Here is a 22787-nt window from a genome sequence, read left to right as displayed (position 1 = left end):
GCCATGATGCCACAAGGGACCCAGGCACCTCTGTCCTCTCAAGCGTCCTTGGCACTTGCTTGTCAACTGTTGTCTCAAGATGGAAGAACCCCTTCTAGAAGGCATCATGTCCATATCCCACTAAAGAAGAAGGGAAGGGCGATCCTGTTGTAGCTCATGAGCGTGATAATTGGGTGTTCATGTGCGTGTGTGAGATGTGCCACCCTCTGAACCTTGTTACGACATTGGCACATTACCTGTCTGACCTGACTTGGGGAAAAAAAAAAGAAGAAGAAGGGAAAGGAATTGAGCCATTTGTGGTGGAAAATTTGTTGGTGAAAGACAGCAGCAAAGCAATAGTCAAGCAAGCTTCTTTAACGGACTTTCTAGAAGTCCCACTTGGTGACATGTACTTACATTTTATTCATAAAAACTGTGTCACAGGGACCCTTCTAGCTGAAAGAAGTCTGGAAAATGTAGTGTTTTTAAGGCTGGATATATTGTTAATAAAATTGGTGTTCTGTTGGTAAAGAAGAAAGAGATAGTAGATATTTGGTGACAACCTGCAGTCTCTACTGGAATAAGTATGCAAAAATACTCCTTGTGGCTGGAATGGGAAATGTCCACTCCCACCATGATCGCCTGTGTTGAGTACCTGGAAGAGTGGTTCTCAAAATGTGGTCCCAGACCAGCTGCATCAGCTGAGAACTTGTTAGAAATGCAAATTCTTCAGCCTCAGCCCAGACAGTTTGAGTCAGAAGTAGGTGGAGTCAGTGATCTGTATTTTAAATGCCCTACAGGAGGATTTTAATGCTGCTAGAGTCTGAGGACCACTGGCCTAGAATGATCATGCAGAAAGTTCTAGACTCTCATGCTCTGCTTGTCTCGACATCACCAGAGTGGTCTGGGATGTGTTGGTGGCCAAGATAGGCACTAGATAATCTTTACAAAGCAATTTAAGTTCACCCAAATAGAGCTAGAATGATCCAGGTTCCTGATGTTGCTGGGTGTAGGGGGAGCTTGAAGAAAAACTGGCATGGAAGTAGAACCAGGCCAACCAACTTTAACATGCCAACAAATGCCAGAGGCTCCTTCCTCTCAAAACTATCTTCCATTCTTCTCAGTTGAAGGGCTTTAGTTGCCAAACAAAAAGTATTACTCTAGGATCTTGCAATTAAAGATTATCTGAGATGTTGGCAAGATTGTGGAGAAAGGGGAACTCTTGTATACAATTAGTGGGAATATAAATAGGCATACCCATTACGGAAAAAAGTATGGAGAGTCCTCAAAAAACTAAAAATAGAAATATAATACCATCTGATCTAGCAATCCCACTGCTGATCCAAAAGAAAGGAAATCAGTAAGTTGAAGAGGTATCTGCACTCCCATGTTTGTTGCTGCACTGTTCACAGTAGCCAAGATATGGAATCAACTTAAGTGTTCTTCAGCAGATGAATGGATAAAGAAAATGTATATATACACAATGGAATATTATTTAGCCATAGAAAGAATAAAATTCTGTCATTTGCAGCAACATGGATGCAGAACATTATGTTTAGTGAAATAATCCAGGCACAGAAAGACAAATATCACAGATACTCCCTCCTATGTGGGAGTTAATAAAAGGTCATCTTATGAAGGTAGAGAGTGGAATGGCTGATAGTTACCAGAGACTGGGAGTGGTGGGGCAGAAGAGGGTAAATATAGAGAGGGTGGTTAATGGGTACAAAATGCAGTTAGATGGAAAGAATAAGTTCTATATTGTTCAATAGCACAGTAGGGTGACTGTAGTTAACAATAATCTACTGTATATTTCAAAATAGCTAGAAGAGAAGATTTGGAATGTTCCAACACAAAGAAATGATAAATGTTGGAGGTGACGGACATCCCAATTACCCAGCTTTTACCATGACACGTTGTATGCCTGTATCAAAATATTACCTGGACCCCATAAATATGTACAGTTACAATTACAATCACAATCAATGAAAAAGAAAGAGTATTTGAAATGTATAATCCTTGAGCTTCAATGGGACCAATAGGGATGGCTTGTGTGGAGAGGGTTGTAGTCATCCCATAATATCCATCTGCTTCTCCCCCAAGTAACCCATAATGAACTCAGTACAATTAAGTATAATAAAAAGTGCACACAGAGCACATGCAGCTTTAAGTTGGCTCCTCTGGCCCAGGGCTCCTCCAAGCATGGTCCACAGGCAGATCCAGCCTGAGAACTCTTTGTTACTGGTCTGCAATGAGATAAAGAACTTAAATCCAAATGTAAATCAAATACATTACTGGGCTCACTCTTTAGTTCAGCTGACATTTTTTCAAACTAAGACTTTCTCAAAGAAATTAGTGCACAACAAGAAACAAATCGTTCATAGACTGACTCCTTCGAGTGGCACTGCCCCTGGCTCCCTTCCAACTAGACAGTCACCTCTGCCCTTCATGGAGATTCTGTAGCTGCCACTTTAAGCATCCTTCTGTCCTTCATTTCTTTAACAAACATTAATTGAGGTCTATGGTATACTAGCACAGTTGGGATGCTGGGAACACAGTGGGCAATAGCACAGACAATCTGTAAGGGTACAAGTTGACATCAAATGGCAGTATCAGATGGGACAGTATGTGTGGAAGTACTTCATAAACCTAATTATACTTAAGAATTGGGTAGTATTCTCTTTCCTTCTTTAGATGGAATAAAAGGTGCAAAGAGAATAAGCACCCTGCACAATATTGCTAGAATAAGAACTCACCGCTCTCTGGCCACTAGCTGAATTTGCTTCACTTTTTCCTCTCTCTATAGGGGTCTCATCTGAAAGAACATTGCTCTTGAGCTTAAGAAGGCAAAAGAATTTAGAGGGTCAGGTGCAGTGGCTCACACCTGTAATCCCAGCACGTTGGGAGGCTGAGGTGAGAGGATCACTTGAGGCCAGCAGTTTGAGACCAGCTGTGGCAACGCAGCGAGACCCTGTCTCTACGAAAAATAAAAAAAATTAGTTGGGCATGATGGTGTGTGTGTGTAATCTCAGCTACTCAGGGGAAAATGAGGCAGAAGGATTGCTAGAGCCCAGGGGTTGAAGCTGTGGTGAGCTGATTGTGCCACTGCACTCCAGCCTGTATCAAAGAGCCAGACCCTCATCTCTAAGAAAAAAAAAAAAAAGAATTTAGAGTTGCATTTCAGATGAGAAGCACATGATATTGACAATTCAGTTCATTCCCAACCTCTTTCATTGGTGTCTGAACATAAAGCCATCTCAGCATATATCATCGGAACTCAAGGGAAAGTGGACTAAAGCTGCAGGTAATGAAAATTACTAGTAACTTGGACCCTAGTGGGATGCCAGTGAGAATATGCACTTCCACAGGTGCTTGAATTCTCTTGGCCCAGGGCTTTAGGAAGCCACAGGAAAAGGTCAGGATGTTCAGGAATAGGGACGTGCTGTCAGAGAAGGATGGAAGGGTGGAAGAGAACTGTGCTGGGCCTAGCGACTTTAAAAAGACTGGCAAGCCAGTATGGCAAATGTTAACATTTGTTAAATCTGAGGAGTATGCATGTGGGTGTTTTATTTTTTCTCTGTACTTTATTTTATGTTTTAATATTTCATAATTTAACATTTAAAATTTTTAAAAAGATCCTCAGCCGGGCATGGTGGCTCGCGCCTGTAATCCCAGCACTTTGGGAGGCTGAGTCGGGTAGATAACTTGAGGCCAGGAGTTCGAGACCAGCCTGGCCAGCATGGTGAAAGCCCATCTCTACAGAAAATACAAAAATTAGCTGGGTATGGTGGCACACGCCTGTAATCCCAGCTATTCTGCTCCAGAGGCTGAGACACAGGAATGGCTTGAACCCAGGAGGTGGAAGTTGCTGTGAGCTGAGATTGTGCCACTGCACTCCAGCCTGTGTGACAGAGCAAGACTGTCTCAAAAAAAAAAAAAACAATTTTTAAAGATTCATAGAACAGATCAGATGATCAATGTAGCACAGAAGAAGAGAAGCTGCAGTAAATAAAATATTCATGGCCCTAAAATTATGAAGGGCAGAGATAGTTTAGTTGTGTGTGTGTGTGTGTGTGCATGCACATGTACATGCACATACTCAGAAGCTTTAGCTTGCATCAAAATCCCCTGGAGGGTGTTTAAACCACAGAGTATTGACTCCGTCTAGTTCTGATTCAGTAGGTCTAGCGTGAGGCCTGAGAATTTGCATTTTTGAGAAGTTCCCACAGCAAATCCTCATGATATCTTTTTGAGTAGATATTGTGTACTCTTCCTACAATTACCTGGACTAGTTTGACTCATTTATTCAACAGATTTTTAGTACTTACCTACTATGTGCCAAGTACTGTGTTACATGCTAGGGATATATGGTTTATTGTGCACATATAACTCCTTATCTAGAGGCAATCGTTAAATACATATTATATGTTTATGCCAAAAGGTGAGCAATCATCTAAACCCTTAAGCAAGCTGTTGGGTATTGTAATAGCTAATCAGTAGGATAGGGGAACACCATGGGGATGGCTGTGTACAAAAACTGCTTTTTTATGTATGGTATTTCATAATGAATACAGATAACTTTCTTTTTCTCTTCTCATCTTCCCCCCAACCACCTCCTATTTTTTTCTCTCCTTTCTCTCTCTCTCCCTCCCTGGGATACACATGGTTGATGGGCTCATCCAACAGCTATCTCAAGCCACCCCTTGCTGCTGCCTGTTACCAGAGGTTCTGAAAAGCCAGATATTTGCTCTGCCAGATTCACTGGCAGCTGGGGCTGGCCACATGCCCTAGTTTTGGCTAATGAGATATAAATGGAAATAGGTTGGGGGCCTTTTGGGAAAGATTTTGCTTCTATACAAGAGGACAGAGGTAAGAGGAAGATCACTGGCACAGCCCCCTTCCCTGTCTTCCTGCCTTAAGGCTGCAATAGCCATCTTGTGACCATGAGGCAACTAACATAAGGATAATTCCAAAGGGGGCAGAGTGACAGAGACTGGCTTTTAATGACATTTTTGACCAATTCAACCAACATTGTTAGCACACCACCCATATTCAGACTTGTTAGTGATAAAAGCAAAGCTCTATTTTAATGAACTGTTAATTTCTATCACTTGCAGAGGAAATCACTCCCAACTGATGCATCCCATTCTCCCTTTCTTCCTCTTCTTGTTTTTTTTTCCTTTTTTATTTTCCTTCTCTCCTTGGTATGTGTGAATTGTGTCCTCCTTGCAAATTCATAAGTTGAAGTCCTAACCTCCAAAGCCTCAGCATGTGACTGTCTTTAAAGAGGTGATTACGTTAAAATGAGGTCATTAGGGTGGGCCCTAATCCAGTATGACTCGTATCCTTAAAAGAAGAGGAAATTTGGACATAGAGATGTAGAGAGGGAAGACCATGTGAAGACACAGGAAGAAGACAGACATCTACAAGCCAAGGGAAAGAGACCTCAGATAAAACCAACCCTGTTGACACCTTGATTTTGGACTTCTAGCCTCCATAACTGTGAGAAAATAAATTTCTGTTGCTTTAGCCACTTAGTGTGTGGTACTTTGTTATGGGAGCCCTGCTGAGCAAATATACTTCTTTCTCCTGCCTTTCATTTCCCCCGTATTCTTTCTTTTTCTTTATTTGTGTGGATATATATATATCTCCAAGGGGTAGCCTAGAGTGAGGAATCCCTTCATTAGGGCCCCTCAGCAGACTTCTTATGTCTCCTTGGCCAGAATTATGTTGCATGCTCATATGTAAACCAACATCTGAGAAGGGGAATGGAACCACCATAATTAATCTAAACCAGTCAAGATTCACCCTCTTTGGCTGGAATGGAAGCTGCCTTTCTTACAGCTTATAGACGCTTACAGAACTTTGGGGACAACAAGACTATAAGCAGGGTTCTGTAAGAACAATGGTTATCAGCCTAAGGCAATTTTGCATCTGCCTTTCCCCAACTCAAAGGACATTTGGGTAATATCTGGAGATGTTTTTGATTGTCACAACCTGGGGGAAGAGGGGAGTTGCTATTGGCACCTAATGGGTAGGGGCCAGAGATGCTACTAAATAAGCTACGACACACAGGAAAGTCCCCTACAACAAAGAAGTATCTGGCACAATTGTCACTCATGCCTGGATTGAGGAACCCTGTGTTAGAGGAAGGGAAGAAGGGGTGGCTATTAGGAGGACAGCAAGGGGTGTTTGTCATGGATGGAAAAACACATGTACGTGATGTTCTCACAGCCTCCCTGTGAGTCTCACTGGCTTCAGGCCACAGCATCCCTGAGTGACAGAAGCTGGTCTCATTACATTGGCCAACCAGCCCTCAGTCTACAACTGTCTGTCAGAGACCCAGTGAATTAGAAAGATTTGTGCAGACTAAAATTAGAAAAGAGATGAAAAGTGATTATTTGGAAATAAATTTGAATATGCCTATTTAGATCCTCCAAGACTGCAGTCTGACATATAAATAAGACTAAAAATATGAAATTATGGTACCCTGTCATTCTATTCACTAGATTTCACTAGCTCTGAATCTAATAAGGCCTTAGTCACCGTGTTAAATTAAAGCTTTTTAATATTTAAAAGATATTAATAATCTTGCTTTGGTAGGTTGGTAAATTTTAAATTTAATAATTTCAAACAGTAGCTCTTCAAGTATTCGAATCAATGATTTTTTATATTCACTTATCTTGATGTTTTGCCATAAGTAATAAATGGTGTAATAAAATGTCTTTGCGCTTCAAATAATACCTCAGCACTTTTTAAACTTCTTTGCAAAACTTGAATACAGTTTATGTATGTGAGTGATAGGCACACATATCTACAAAGGTGGCTAAATTTTAAAAAATTAATGCCATGACCTGCAATTTCCTTTGCAAATATGTAGCTTGTCCTGCTTGCTTTATGGCTGTTGTTTGCAACATCATATTTTCCCCTTAAATAAAAAATTTAAAAATGACATAGAAGACTTTGGCCAAATTGGCTAACAGTTTCATCATGTTTGATATTGGTTCCAAGTTTTCATGCACCTACTTTTATATATACGTAATGTATCAGCTTTTGATATAGTAAAAAACACATAGGTAGCTTAAACTGCAAAGCATTTTCTGTTTTTCAGGCTATATATTACAAGACCTACCAAGCAGCATACTTGCTTAAATGTTCTGTACTTAATTGTCAGAGTTTGCAGTGGACTCTTCATTTCTTAAAGAATTACCACAAATGTATTCACTTATTCAGCTCCTGTGTGTGCACATACATTTCTATCACTATTTTCTTTTCTTCAATCAGCCAGTGTCTAGAAGTAAGAACCATCATCTTTAATTCAATCTCTGGCTTATTATAGACCTAGGATCCTCACAGGAATATTTGTTCAATTTGAACATGCTCTTCAGCTGTGTTTTTTTTTTTTTATTTTGTTGCTTATGGATGACAGATAATGATGTTTTTACACATTTAAGAGTACTTCATTTCCTTATTACATGGACATATTTCTAATTGGCTCCAGGCTCCTTACTATTAATAGCTGTTGAAGATGCACTATACATCTAATTTAGCACTGCCTGGGGTGACACAATTGGTTCTCAGTTACTTTACTGCCAATATGTACAGCTAATGCCACAGGGAGCCTGGAACTAATTGGTGAGATCCTTGCCCTCCGAGACCGAACCTAACACATGCTTCCCAGACAGCTTCCCTCTCAGGGACTTCAGCGTTCCTCATTACCCTGACCATCTTTGATTTGGTGCCATGATTGACATAAGGAAGGCAAAACCACCTCCTCGGCTTGATTTATTCTAAAGACATTTGACTTTATCCATACCCATCCCTGTGGAATATGGAAGCCCTTGGGGTGACTCCTGAATTTCCATATAGGAGCTTAGGGGTAGCAATATAGAAGGCCAGGGGCTTGAATGAATGTATGTTTGCAGGGAAAACATACTTTGTTTCATTTTAATTGTATTCTTTAGTGAGGAGGTTGATGGATATTTGGTTCTGGCAGGGAGTGTAGGCTCCGTAAGTCACCCTTTGCACCTTGGCAGAGCCACAGGTTATTCTCTTTGTGGAAAGCCCCTTTTGGTGCCACCACTGAAAGCCAAACCTCTTAGTATGACTTTAAGGAGTATGACATCAACCAATCCCTTGAGCCTTACGTTCCACCTCTCCTGCCACCCCAACCTCCCACTCAGCCAAACTGCAATAATTCCATGAACAGGACATACAGCTTTTTTTTTTCCCTCTTCTGTTACTTTTTGGTGTCCCCAAGGTCTAGATCTGGCCCTCTCTCCCCGATGCCAACAACACTTCCTGCACACCACTACCATCACAGGTCGGGTGTGGAATTCCAGTGGTTCAACATACAGCTTTCCTCAGTGCAGACTGTGAACTCTTTGAAGGCAAGGCCCATATCTTAGTCACTTGGGCATCATGAGTACCCAGGTGGGTTCTGACATTTGACTGGCACTCAATGAAAATGTATTGTGTTAAGCTCTTATTGTTACTATGGTATTCTGTCTTTATCAGCAGAAGAGAAGGAGAGTTTCCCCAATAACATGGGTAGTTGAAACATAACCCTATAAATGCTGAACCACTTTCTGGATGAAAAACATCTCAAGTCTCTGCCTTAGTAACAAGATCTAACATATGTTTTACTTCAAGACTCAAGAATATCATTGTGAACATTGGTTATGATACTGACCTCTGATATTAGCAGTGTTGCACGTCCTATGAAAGTGCCCTGAAATAATGGTGTCAACCAATGCAACTTTAAATAAAACATACACACTGACAAAAATCAAAAAGCATGAGTCCACCCAGTGACCTTCCAGTGAAGCACCAAAATTTATTTCATGAGACTTCAATTTCAATGATTGAATGCAGGTTTACTTGGCTCACAAGGCAGCTGGAATATATTTCTCTTTTTTCAGATTATTTACTGTGAACTTCTTAGAAAACCCCTGTTTTCTGTTTCTGGAAAGTATTAATATTCAGGATGGAAACACTTAACTGGGCTGGGCACGGTGGCTCATGCCTGTAATCCCAGCACTTTGGGAGGCCAAGGCAGGCAGATCACGAGGTCGAGAGATAGAGACCATCCTGGCCAACATGGTGAAACCCCATCTCTACTAAAAATACAAAAATTAGCTGGGCATTGTGGTGCACACCTGTAGTCCCAGCTACTCGGGAGGCTGAGGCAGGAGAATCACTTGAACCTGGGAGGTGGAGGCTGCAGTGAGCTGAGTTCGTGCCACTGCACTCCAGGCTGGCGACAGGGCAAGAATCCATCTCAAAAAAAAAGAAAATAAAAGAAACACTTAACTATTCAATGACTACAGAAAGGTTATATGAACTTGATCTATATTATATTTGTCATGAAATAATTTTTCACCTCCTTTAGAGAATCAGGTTGTTGTCACAACAAAAATGTTATATTAATACACTGTATTAATAATAGCACACTAAATGATTTTGTCTGTCTTTTCTCTACCCTGTCATTCAACAAGTACAATTTGCTGTGTATTGTGCTAAGTAAGATCTGAGGGAGTAGGGGTATATAAGATAGACATGATTCCTGCTCAGGGTCTTCATGTTTAAAGAGGAGGGACAGACCAACAAATAGAATTGCAATATAGAATGTTTCAATGTTGAGACTTTCACCAGCCTATAAAACATAGGCCACCTTTACCATCACTTGAAATTCCTACAACCTTTTCATCACCAGTTCAAGAGACCATCATAACCTTGACTAGGGCCCAGGGTATTGCTCTGGTGGCAGGAATCAGGATTTTAATAAAGGTCCATAGTAATTTCCCTGGGCATGGTTATTTTTGGTGTTTTGTGGTAGGGTTGTAGGGCTGGCTAAGGTTCATAAGATTTATATTTGTAATCTCAGTGGCCTGTATGTGGAGAATAATGGTGATTCCTATCAGTGGTAGTAGGTGGTAGTCACCAGCAGTAGCCCCAGTGGGAAAGACTGTGTCTAAGTAGAGAACATGGGAAGTAATTACTGCTGCTGGAAGTTGGAGCAGAAGTTTCTACTTGGAGCTTTTCTGGAAACACGTTTTGCTTATTCATCAAAATATGATTGAACTGTGTAGATATCCAAATGTTGTAAATAACGGAATTAAATGGTTTGATTTATGCCTATGTGGTCTTTGTCACATGTCACTTACACTATTTATTTGATATATGTTATTTGTAGAAAACCGCACTAGACACTGAGAGGACTCTGTTTTGGTCTCAGTGGGTTTACAGATCAGGAATGGCATCAACCAAGGACACAGGGCATGCATGTTCAAGGTCACAGGGAGAGTGCCAGCTGTGAATGGAAGTAGATTTAGGTTCCTAATGAGAAAACAAGAGTGTTGTGTAGGTCTGTTTTAAAAACTCATACCAGTGAAGTGATTGGCAATGGAGAGTTCCCCTAGGTCTGAGAGCAGGAAGAAGAATCCTGTAACCCTAGCAAAGCAGGGTGGTTGATATTAGCTGGTGCTGGGCTTAAGAACAACTGTCAGAGGTTACATTAAAAATCAAATTTATTATAGATTTTTGAGATCAAGATTACCTACATTAAATATGGAATAATTCAACTTAACTAATACTTATTTAGAATCTATCAAGATTCTCTTTAAGCCATAAGGAATTTCCTCTTGTATTCTTCTACATGAATGAGACTAACATAAAAACTTAAAGTCTTTCTGACAATCACAAACAGAGAATTAGGGGATTGGGCCAACCTCATTTTGCCTTTTTAATGGTGATTTAAAATTTATTGGTAAAAAATTGTCTTACTGAGGAATGCACAGACTTCTTACTAAGATCGTTCTAGTCTTATGGAGTAATGATAGCATGTTAGAATTAGAAATGAGTGATCATCTTTATTAGGGGGTTTTAAATGTTGTTTAGCCATAAAATCCTTTGTCTAAACAAAGTTTTACACTGAACTGTGGTATGTCAAACAGACAAAAGTGGAGTTGGGTGTGGGGGCTAATCCTTATTGATTTACTCCAGTCAAATCTCAAAGGGATCCCCCAGAGTCCCCAGGGATTCCCCAAGACACAGAAAACTGCAACTCTGGGTCATTTTCCACATTTCATAAATGAGAGTGCCAAGGCCCAGGACGGGTAAGTGAGTCTCTGCATAGTACTGCTTGTTAGAGGCGGAAAAGGGTCTAGGGTTTTTGACTTATTTTGGCTTATTTCATTGAGCTTTTTTCTGAAAACCTAACACAATTTGTATATCTTTTCATTTGTGTTTACAAATGGCAAGTTTCCAAGTTAAGCTTCTGATTGGTTTGTAACTGAGGAAAAGAGTGACTGCTATATCCTGAGCCAAGAGAGAAATGGGCTAAATCCACTGTCTGTCTTTATCTCCTTCTTGTATTTGATGGTGTTTATCCTGGCTCTTCAGTTGGAAAAGAGAGGCCTCCGCAAACCCCAGCCACAGCCCCGTCCCTTCAGTGGGAAATGTAGTTCCACAGATGATGATGGATTTCCATGTGCATCTTTGTTGGAGAGCTTCTGTGTGATTCTGGCATCTAGTAGCTAGAGCAGGTCAGCTTATGAGCACAGGGAGATCTTTTCTAGACTTCCAGGGGTTGTCTTTGGGTAACAAGGCCCTACACAATTCTGCTTTACTACTGTTTAGGTGATCTAGCTCCATCTTTTTAACCTCTATTCTAAGATATGTCCACAGCTGTGCATGCTCCCCTTGGTGGTGTAGATTTGTTTCTGCAAAGTAGCTACTGAGTCAGGGACCACCCCTATCTTCCCCTTCTGCCCTGGCCACATGCACACTCACACACACGCATGCACACACACTCACACACACAGCTAGGTATACCATATGAGCAAGTTCTAGCTCATGAAATGTGAATGGAAGTGATGTGTGTCATTTCTAGCCCTGCCCTAGCAAACCCTCCCATGCAGCATTCCTCAGGGCTCTCTCCCTGTTTGTTGGCTGGATACATAGAATTTAAGCACCTAGACCAATGTTTCTTGAGCTCAGCCTATCAGCATTTGGGGCTGAAGAATTCTTGGTTGTGAGGACTTGTCCTGTGCATTGTAGAGGGTTTAGCAACATCCCTGGCTTCTGCCCACTCCATACCAGGGGCATCTCCCCTGTTGTAACAGTCTAAAATGTCTCCAGGCATTGCCAGATATCTCCTGGTTTGGCAGAAGGTGGAGGGAAGCGGGGTTGGGAGGGGCAAAATGACCCCTGGTTGAGAACTATTGCCTAGAGTATTGCAGAGCCATATGATGGAAGGGCCAAGGGGCCCTGCACCACCTGAGATAGAAAGCCAAGTGGCACTTACTGCACGGGGCTGTGAAGCTATGGAAATGTTGAGGTTTACTTGTTACAGCATCCGATGGTACCTAACCAAGCACACTGCTTTTTATCTGCTTTACAAATTGGACTTCTATGTAAGATTCCTTTTAAAGAAAGTGTATCCCTCAAAAAGAATGAAATAAACATAACCTTTGGAAACTTTTGACCCAGTTAATCTCTTCCCTTTACAGATAGGAACCAGTTACAAAGAAGTGAGGTGACTTGTCTAAGACCACACAGATAGGGAGCTGCAGAGGCAGGTCCAGAACTGAGGACTTCAGGTGCTTCACCCTGTGCCCTACCCTGAAGCCACTTACCTTTAACTTTCTCTAAGCAGGAACAGATGGAAGTGATAAAACCAGCCACACTTGATACAGTTTAAGTTGGCCTACATGTAGGATAGGTTGATAAAGTGTCTTAAGTTCCTCCCCTGACCCCATCATCTTTCTTCCTCCTGTTTATTGTGTTGTATCTTCTGAGTCACTATTTAGGGGGAAGGCATTGCCTCACTCGTCAAAGACCCTGTTAAAAACCAGGTTATTTCCTGGGGAAAATCATACTTCTACATGTGCTACCTGGCAGTACAGATCCCTTTACCACATTGGTCAGGTACCCCTGAAGAACAGGGAGAGCCCAAAAATCAGGTCCCGAGCAGCTCAGTCCCCAAAATAGGGCCAGCATGGGCTTCTGATTGGGATGAGGAAAAGACTGAGGAACGAGGAAACAAGGGAAACTGAAGGCCCATCCGGTGGCCTAGCCACACCTGGCAGGGGCACGGAGTGAATAGCTGAGTCGCCAGTGGAAAAGATGTTTCCAGCTTCACGTGAAGCCTGGCTCGCATTGGCTTGGGCCCTGGGTGGGGCTCAGCTTGCAGGCCATTCCTGGGGCAGCTGGGTGAGGCCAGCCCCAGCAGGGGGACACCGGCACCTCTTCACACGTTATGGTGGTGTCCTCTGGAAAAAGGTGTGAAGTAAATGCATCGACTGATGTACCTTGCACACATTTCACACCCTCCTTTTTCTGTTTCATGCTCCCTTTCTCCCTCAAGCCAGCTCTGAATGTGTGAGCCTTTGTGCCATTTCTGAATTTACAAATCCCCCCAGAAGGCACTCATCATGGACTCTCTTTCTAGATCTTTGTTGCCAGTTATGGAGAAAAGAATGGACTTAACTTTCCCTAGGGCTATTATAAAACAATGATCATCTGTCCCAGGTGGTTAAGCTTCTATAAATTCTCACAAGTAGCAGAAGCCAGGTTCTCACCCACCAGGGAAAGCTGAGCATTGGCCTTACCACTGCCAAGTGTATTTGGAGCCGTTGTTTTTCTCTTGTGCTAACTATTCCTTCCAGCCAAAACTTAAGTTGAGAGAAGGGGAACAATTATCCTCATTCTTTGAGAATTACAAATTGTATTTTAAACTGGCATATTTTCACCAGTTTTACACACTTTTTTCTCTTTTTCTTTTTTTTCAGTTTGGATAATAGTTCTTGGAATTAAACCTTGGCCTTGGGGATATCCGAGCTGGGGGGTTAATTGTTGAATTGTCCTGAGCTAACAAAATTGTTACCAAAAAAAAAAAAAAAAAAAAAAACAAGAAACAAAAAACAGTAATTTCATCTTAATTGCTCATGGAAAAAAAGGTAAAGAAGTCTGTAGACATTTGGGGTCCTATATGCTTTATTAAACTAAACCATGAACAGTCCTAGCCAAGGCAGTTTGGACAGTCTGCTGAACTGTGTTATTGTTACGAGACTTCAAAACTTAGATGTTCAGCTTTCCTATATTATGTTGCAACATTTGTTACTTAACCTTTTTGCATCACTTTGAATGGGATAAAACTTCAGTATTGAAAGTTTCTTGGGAAGTCATCTAGCCTCTTGGTGCTCAAAGTCTGTGGATCCATAGCACTGGTATCACCTGAGAGCTTGCTAGAAATGTAGACTTTTAGGCCTCTCCCAAAATCTATTGAATAAGAATCTGAAGTTTACCAAGATCCCGAGGTGATCTGTGTACACATTAAAATTTGAGACTCACTGGTCTAGTCTGACTCCATCATACGAGGAAAGTGAGGCCCAGGCAAGTTTCCAGAAGGGGAAGCTGTGGCTCAGGAAGAAGGGCGACACCTTAAAAGCAAGCTGCCATGAACTTCATAGCCTCTTCAGATCCAGGCTCCGGGTGTGGCTGAAAGCTTCATGATATCCATTTTCAATCATACTTAAACATGGCCACAATATAAGAAAATGTTCTAGAGCTGCTTCTACTGTGGGTACTTTTCTAAAAATAACTGGGAAAGACTTGCCTGGTGGACAGACAGGGGCTGACATGGTAATTTCAGACCTGGCAGGTGAATAATGAGTCACCATTTATTTGGATCACTGCTGCGGGCAGTTTCTCAGGGGTGCCAAGACGGCAGTCGTCCACTCCACAAGAAAGCTGGAGGGCAAAGCCCACAATATTTATGTTGGCATTTTCACTATTTATATGAGGAAATATTTTCATTAATCTCAAACGTGTATTAAGTCCCTGAAATCAGGTGTTTGCTTAAAAAAATAAATATAACCTAGTTCTCATATTTCAGGTTTGTTGCAATAACTACCTCTAGCTCTTTGGGGCTGTATTAGATTTTATTTTCACTGTAAATGAGACTATAAATTCAACAGAATTAGTCAGCCATGCATAGATTCTAACATGTTACTGTCATTATAAAGAAGAAATCATTTTTGATTGTCCAACTTTGCTATGTGCCTGGGAAGCAATGAAAATAATTATTTTAGAAGCCAAGATGGGGAGAATCAAATGCCATGTATTTCTGATGGGAGAGGAAGAAGTTCAAATGCTCCGTCCAGTGTGTGGGTCTAAGTTCCCTGCCTTGGGCAGAATGGTCAGGCTGTTAGAGGCCTCAAGGAGGAGGTCCCATGGATTTATGGCAGAGAGAGAGAGAGACAGAGAGTGGGAGAGAGGGAGTTGTTTCTTTCCCCGGGTGGAGACAGAGAAAGGAAGATTTGCATTCCTTTGTGACAGGATTGGAAGCATCTAAGTCAGATATAATGTAAGTTAAAATGCACACCAGACCACGAAGCCTGGTATATAGGAAGCACTCCAGAGATGCTCATTCCTTACTGTCTTCTCTTTTTCTCTCCAAGAGTCAAGCTGATGGCACAGTCCAGGCAAAACCCAGAGGCAGGTTTGGTTTGCTTAAGAGGCCTTTATCTGCACTGGCAAAACACAAAGGAGAATGTTTTCATTGTTACTAAGAAAAGAGCTGCTCTGTGAATCATGGCTGCTTCGTGGGAACAGCAGCAGCCAGTGCAGAGTTTCCATGCCTCTGGGGGCATCGGGAATTTGGATTTCCTAATGAGAACTAGGGTTCCTGTGGCCTCACCCTGAAGTGATAGGAGCCATTGAGATCTAGAATAGTCTAGATGAGGTCAGAGGGAGCACAGGGTGGTTCTGATCTAGGCTGCTGCACTGAGATGACCCTGGGTAGAAGGGAAGATGCTGGGGGCACAGGAAAGGGGCCCTGAGCAGGTGATTCTCAGGGGCCACAAGGAACTGTGGGTACATGGGAAAGGTTAAGAGGAGCTCACAAAGTAAACAGCCTTTTAGGGGAAAGCAAGTCTGTCTCATGATCCCAGTTTTTCTTCAAAAGAATATATAGAAGTATAAAAATGGGGAGGGGGCAAAGAGACGATGACCTACTCAGAATTTCAAATACCCTTTGATGAGTTTAACTTATCAGACTATTACAATTCTGATTCACCAGTGAATTGGAGATGGATTTGAGAGTGGGTACATGCAAGGTAATGAACCTAGGTGAAGATAATCCAATGGCACAGGTAGATCTTCCCAAGCAGTAATAATCATATCTGACATTGGCATGGCTTTTCATGATTTATAGACCATTCTTATTTGATCCTCATGGCAACCTTAGGAGGAATTTCCCTCTCATTAGCCCAGACAGCCCAGGGTTCATGCTATTTCACTAGACCAGTGGCCTATACATGTAGGGTGTACAGGAGAATCTATTGCTTGCAAAAGAACACTATTTAGATAATTTTTTCTAAAAATAATGAAGAAATTAAACTTTACTAATACTGAAAATATGGATTGAGGCTGCCATATCGTGTCTGTTTTATGTCAGACAGCCCCACATCATGTACACTCAAGCCAGGTCAGGTGAGGATGGAGGGACTTTGCACTTTTCAGAGGATCCAAGTGCCCTCAGCTTGCTTCTTCACTTCCTGCATATTGTCTCATGTTGCCCTTCACTCAGCATGTGACATGAATTTATTGATTTTATTCTCTTCCTTACTCTGACAGAATGGACAAGCAACTTAAAAGTATTCCTCTCCAAGAATTGCGTGAACCGGGAGGCGGAGCTTGCAGTGAGCCGAGATCGCACCACTGCACTCCAGCCTGGGAGACAGAGCCAGACTCCGTCTAAAAAAAAAAAAAAAAAAAGTATTCCTCTCCAAAAATGCAAATGAGGGTAATAACAGTGGTGCAAGCACACAGCAAACCCCAAAGGCAGTGGAGCCCCACACTTCTGTTATTCCTATATGCTCTTCGTCAGCCATAATGTGAGATTGAGAACAATGACAATGTCATCTGAGCTAATAAGTGGCCAAAACATTTTCTTTCTTTTTTTTTTTTGAGACGGAGTCTCGCTCTGTCACCCAGGCTGGAGTGCAGTGGTGCGTGCAGCCTCTGCCTCCTGGGTTCAAGTGATTCTCCTGCCTCAGCCTCCCGAGTAGCTGGGATGACAGGCATGCACCACTACACCCAGCTAACTTTTGTATTTTTAATACAGACGGGGTTTCACTATGTTGGCCAGGCTGGACACGAACTCCTGACCTCAGGTGATCCGCCTGCCTCGGCCTCCCAAAGTACTGGGATTACAGGCATGAGCCACCATGCCTGGCCCAAAACATTTTCAAGAAGGTTATTTGAAATGTGAATTATCTTTGCCATCCTTGATAATGAATGTCACCCAAGTATCAATTGTATCTTATAAGCCCAAGGATATTAACACTCCATTGAGATCAGCAATTCATTTAACCTCACGACATCCAAACGGAAAGACAAACCTCTGCAGTTCCCCCATCCCACCCCTGTGGTGATTAAAAACATAAGATTCTCAACAGTACTTTAAAATTTTGCAAAATTTATTGATAAATATTTAGCAGCTTCTTTTGAGACTTGTTAGCAAAAAAAAAAAAAAAAAAAACCCATGTGACTGGGTAAATGTTCTTCCTGATGCTATTAAAAATGGTGGAAATAACACTTAAAGATAGATATAATAACAAACAAAATGCCAAATGCCTTTATTAGTCACATAATACTGTTGGAATAGAGAGAGAAAATATTGCTGAATGTCTGAAGAATCAAGGATGAGAACAAATGATGCTGTGTAGGATGTTTGCTGTTTAGTTGTATGAAAGCATACTTGTCAATGTTTCAGTTTAGGGTATTCGTCAGGTTCAGTTTCAGTAATTCAGAACCTAAAAAACTACTTTAAATTTGTATGTGTGTGTGTGTGTGTGCCACGTATGGGAAAAAGTACCAGAAAAGATATTTCCTCAACAATTAAATTACTTCTTTAATTAAAAAAATGTTTTATGGAAAACCTAGGTTAAGTGTGCCCACTAGGCAGAGATTGAGCCAGATAAAAGTCATTCCATGAATTATTCACAGGAAAGCTTTTATAACAAAGTAGTTAATGCCAGAAGTACACAAAATGTTACAGGATGTCATCCATATGGGTTAACTTTATAAAAACAAGACCTTTAAAATATAGTGGAGTCTTTATAACACTGTATAATGAGATGGGTAGTGATCATGAAAACCTTTTGTAATACATAGACCAGGTTCTTTGTAAGTTCCTTGTAAGTTATTTTCTATCAAAATATTAAAGGGATTGTTGAATTTAAGATGAGTTATTCAGTTATTCATTTTTCTCTCAGAAAAAGATGAGACCTCAATATGCTGGCCTTTCTTTGATAACAAATATTCTATCTGGAAAATAGGTTGTGAAAAAAATACTAGCACTGTAAAATCATCATGAAGAAGGAAGGTGAGAAGGAGACATTTTCATTGTCTTAACTGACCCAGGAAGGCTGTGACTAAGGTGTCTTCCTCAAACCCATCACCTCAGACTAGATTAAATGCCCTCCTCCTCTCTGCAATCCTATAACACTCTGTATACACATTCATTCATTCACCTACCCACCCACCACCCCACTCACCCATCCTTCTGTCCACCCACCCACCCACCTACCCACCCATACTACAAATATGTATTGATCACTTATTAGGTACCAGCGTTCTAGATGGTGGTTATACAAAACAGACAGTAAACAAAACCGTCGAAAAACCCAGCTCTCATGAAACTTACATCCCAACTAGGAGACACAGATCATTTAAAATATGAATAAGAAGCTGGTCATGGTGGCTTGAGCTGTAATCCCAGCTACCTGGGAGGCTGAGGCTGGAGGATTGCTTGAGCCCAAGAGTTTGAGGCTGCAGTGAGCTATGATTGTGCCACCACACTTTAGCCTTAGTGACAGAGTGAGACTCTGTCTCTTAAAAAAAAATGAGTTATATAAGTTTGTGGTGATAAATATTATGGGCAAAAAAAAAAAAGAAGGAAATTAGGGAGTGCCAAGGAATACATTGCAATTTTAACTTCAGTCATCAGAGAGAGCATCACTGAGAATACAGACCCCAAATAGGTGAGAGAGTGAGAACTGCAGATTCGGGGGTTAAGGGTTTACCGAGCAAGAGAACAGTAAGTGCAAAAGCCTAGAGGGATTGTGCTTCTGTTTTAGTTTTAGGTGAATGAGTGACGGGGAGAGGAAGCATTGAATCGGGGTAGTAATCGGGAGCGGGGCTGGCAAGCTGGGCAGAGCCTCGGTCTTGCAAGATTTGGGCTTTCATTCCACGTGAGATGGGAAGTCCCTGGAGGGTTCCTTCCATGCAGAGGCCATGACATGGTCTGCCTCATGTTTTAACAGGGTTGTTCTGGCTGCGTTATGGAGGACAGACTGAATGGGGGCAAGTGCAGAAGTAGAGAGCTGTAAGGAGACAGGGCAGGGATCAAGGTGAGAAACGGCACAAGGTGGCCTGGACAGAGTGAAGATGCTAAGTGTTTGCATGCTCAATTGCTATGTTACATTAAAATTGTCTACTTACTTTTTATATCCTCCACCTACATAGTGCATTCCCAGCACCTACCACAATGCCTCAGCCCTACAAAATTACAAACTATCTCCTTTTTGGAAATGAACCACGTCCATTTTGAGGGTGGTATAGAACTCATTTCCTTGTGGCTGACCTATCTACAAAGGCAATTGAGGTAGAAAAAGTTACTTAAGGATTAAAGGAAAAATCAGTGGTTGATTGTGGGTTATTAAGAGAAAGCAGATGATTGGGGGAGTATATTCTTTGTCATAGAGACTAATTTTAAGGAAAATCTTCCTTTCCTAACAACCTTGTGTGTTTTGGTCTAAGACAGAAAACTGTTTCTATCTGATGTAATAACTTGGAACCATCACATAGCACAATTCCAGGACATGCCTTTCCCACAGAATGCAGTGTGAATCCCTGAGGTTGTGCAATGTAGTGATGATTTATGGATATGTATCTATCTATATCTTTGAGAAGTCTCTAGCTATTGGGAGGTGTCTCAAATTCACATAATTGCAGAAACAAAGCAAAAGGCATGATCTCACGTACTATTTGTTCAGGGACTTGTGGCTTTGGATAGTTATAGTAGATTAAATAATGGTTCCCAAAGATGTCAGATCCTCATCCTTGGTACTTATAAATATTTCCATATGTGGAAAAAGGGTCTTTGCAGAGGCGATTAAATTAAGGATCTTGAGATGGAGAGATAATCCTGGATTATGTGGGTGGGCCCAAAATACAATCACGTGTCCTGAAAAGAAAAAGGCAGAGGGAGATTTGACATGGACAGAAGAGGAAAAGACAATGTGACACCCAGGCAGAGACTGTAGTGACGCAGCCATAAGCCAATGAATGCTGACAGCCACCAGAATCTGAAAGAGGCAAGGAAGGGCTTCTACCCTGGAGTTTTTGGAGGGAGCTCCAACATCATATCTTTGACCCAGCAGTACTGATTTTTTGTCTTTTAGCCTCCAGAACTGTGAGATAATAAATTTTTGTTGTTTTCAGACAGGAAGTTTATGGTAATATTGTTACAGCAGCCACAGGAAACAAATATAGTAATATGGTAGTAGCTTTAATCTATTTCTTGTGTGGTCATTTATCCTCTGAAAGACCTACTACATTGTCTTTAGATTTGTCTATGAATATTTCATCAGTGACTCTATGCACAACAGTGATTTTAAAGCGGAGGCAAGGTGATTATAGCACTCTCTGGTAGGAAATATCCTAATGCCTGCCGAATTGTTAAGCCAGGATCCTCCTAATTTAGGGTATGAGAAGTCTATTTGGTAAATAACATTTTTATAAATAGCAAATAATGGTTGAAAGGAAATTATATGACTGAGCCATCTTGCTTTATGATTTTACTTACTTAATGGTTAAAAATCGATCTATTCAAAGATTTCAAATCACCCACACACATATCCATCTTTCTGTTTTCCCTGAAAAAACTGAGAGCAAGCTTTTATCTGGAGTAGAAGCTCTGTTGGACATGTAGCAGATGAGTTTACACTATGCATGATGCTAAAAACCTAGTTAAATGTGACTCCAAAGTCAATCTTACTTGATCTTTCTTCATCTTGATACCTCACAACCCTCTAACCCCTGAATCATGGGAAGATTCTAGAAGTCTCATGAAGACTAAAACACTGAGGAATGTTGAAGATATTTTAGCTGAGAGGCTTATTGCCTAAGTTCCCACAATCTCTGGGAGTGATTCTTTGCTAATTTGCCCCATTTAGATGTGGAATTTGTTATCAAAGATGGAAACACTCCCGCCTAGGGTCCAGTCTTCTTAGGTGGACTATGAAGCTGTTCTTCTCTGAAGTCTTGCTGTCTTCCCCAGTATCTTGAGTGCTGGAGGTATGGCTCCAGCTACTCATGGAACCTATGAACCATGGCAATATTGTATCACTGTGACTCAGTGCTTTTCTCTACCTTCCAAAAGCCCTCAATTCTCTCCTCTCCTCTAAATATTTTCAATGAACTTTGATTCTAGCAACAAAAGCCATAAGGGACAAGCCTTCAGGTAACATTTTTTGGCCTTGCCATCTAAATCCTCTAAGTCAGATGTGAGAAAACTATGGCCTGTGGGCGAAATCCAGCCTGCCTCCTGTTTTCTTTTTTAAAAAATAAAGTTTTATTGAAACACAGCCATGCTTATTTACTTATATATTGTCTATAGCTGCTTTTGTGCTACAGTGGCAGAGTTGAGTGCTTGAGACGGAGATGGTATGACCTGCAAAGCCTAAAATGTTTAATATCTGACCCTTTACAGAAAAAGTTCACAGACCCCTGCTTTAAGTCAAGGGAACTCAGAGTCTGATTATCATCTTTTAACAGAGATGGAAGGTACTGAGAGGACTGAACCCGACTGAATTACTGCCACAGGATATCCTGCCACTTAGGTCCAGAAGTTGTGGGAAGTCTGAGTTAACTGGAGGCCCAACATGATTTCTGTCCAATTCCTAATGACCCTTTGCTCTTGAGCTACTGCAGGGATGGTGGCAACACACATCCCAAAGATGATCTCACTCTCCATTTACCCACATTCCAAGGCAGGCCAGATCTAACTGGATTGTTCAAGGATGCTTCCGTTGAGACTGTACCCTCTGTCCATTTGGGTTTCCTCACACATTCTCCACAAGTCCTCAGGCTGCTTCATGTGTGGACGAACTAGACTGGAAGATGCTGAAGGACAGACCTTCCAGACAATGAGCTCTTCCTCAAGATCCACTGGCATATTGTGCTGTGCACACTGGAGGTGCAGGAGTATCCCTACTGTATACTATGTTAACTGCGAGACCCAACCTTCTGCTCAGAGGATGACAACAGATGGATGCAAGTTGTCCTATGATTGCCATTTTGGAATTGCCATTTGAAGACAGCGGTGACCTGTGGGTCTGGAGGAATCACTGCAGGGTGGGATATACATATCAAATTCTGCAAGCTGGGTCAGTTGTGGGGGTATCTACATTGGGACACTTCACAAAGAAAGAAGAGGGAAACAAAATGATGCCTATATAATTGCCTCATGGAAAAGATTCCCTATCATGTTACAGAAACATAGTCCACTATGTAATGACCTTGGTGGATGATAGCGTCCAGATTCCTCTTCAGTATGGTGTGTGGTTGGTTGTTAGTTTGTACAGAATGAATGATGGCCTCTGTTTGCCTGCCAGCCAAATGTGGGACACTCAGAAAAGCAAATTTTTCACATCAGACAGATCTGGATTCAGATTTTGGGCTTACTTCATTCTGCCTTTGCCACTTTGGTCAATTTAATTACCTTTAGTTTTATC

At 41.5% G+C, this 22787-nt stretch overlaps 1 protein-coding gene and 1 non-coding gene across 18 annotated transcripts in view, besides 2 other annotated features; both read left to right on the top strand.

Moving 5' to 3' along the window:
* NCALD (neurocalcin delta) overlaps window positions 1–22787 on the top strand; it is a 438366-nt gene that overhangs the window by 277406 nt on the left and 138173 nt on the right. The gene's annotated exons all lie outside the window — the stretch shown is intronic.
* Window positions 142–246, top strand: LOC124902079 (small nucleolar RNA U13). Its single transcript, XR_007061210.1, has one exon. It is a non-coding gene; the product is annotated as a small nucleolar RNA U13 (small nucleolar RNA).
* Window positions 680–729: a silencer, noted in NCBI's record as "silent region_19433". NCBI's record gives its function as "represses an Ori minimal core promoter by ATAC-STARR-seq in GM12878 lymphoblastoid cells {active_cell/tissue: GM12878}" and the evidence as "EXISTENCE:reporter gene assay evidence [ECO:0000049][PMID:35858748]".
* Window positions 5988–6077: an enhancer, noted in NCBI's record as "active region_27736". NCBI's record gives its function as "activates an Ori minimal core promoter by ATAC-STARR-seq in GM12878 lymphoblastoid cells {active_cell/tissue: GM12878}" and the evidence as "EXISTENCE:reporter gene assay evidence [ECO:0000049][PMID:35858748]".

This window comes from Homo sapiens, chromosome 8 (assembly GCF_000001405.40).
Source record: "Homo sapiens chromosome 8, GRCh38.p14 Primary Assembly".
NCBI lineage: Eukaryota > Metazoa > Chordata > Mammalia > Primates > Hominidae > Homo > Homo sapiens.
The sequence above is the reverse complement of the archived record's forward strand: the minus strand, read 5'-3'. Positions and strand labels throughout refer to the sequence as shown.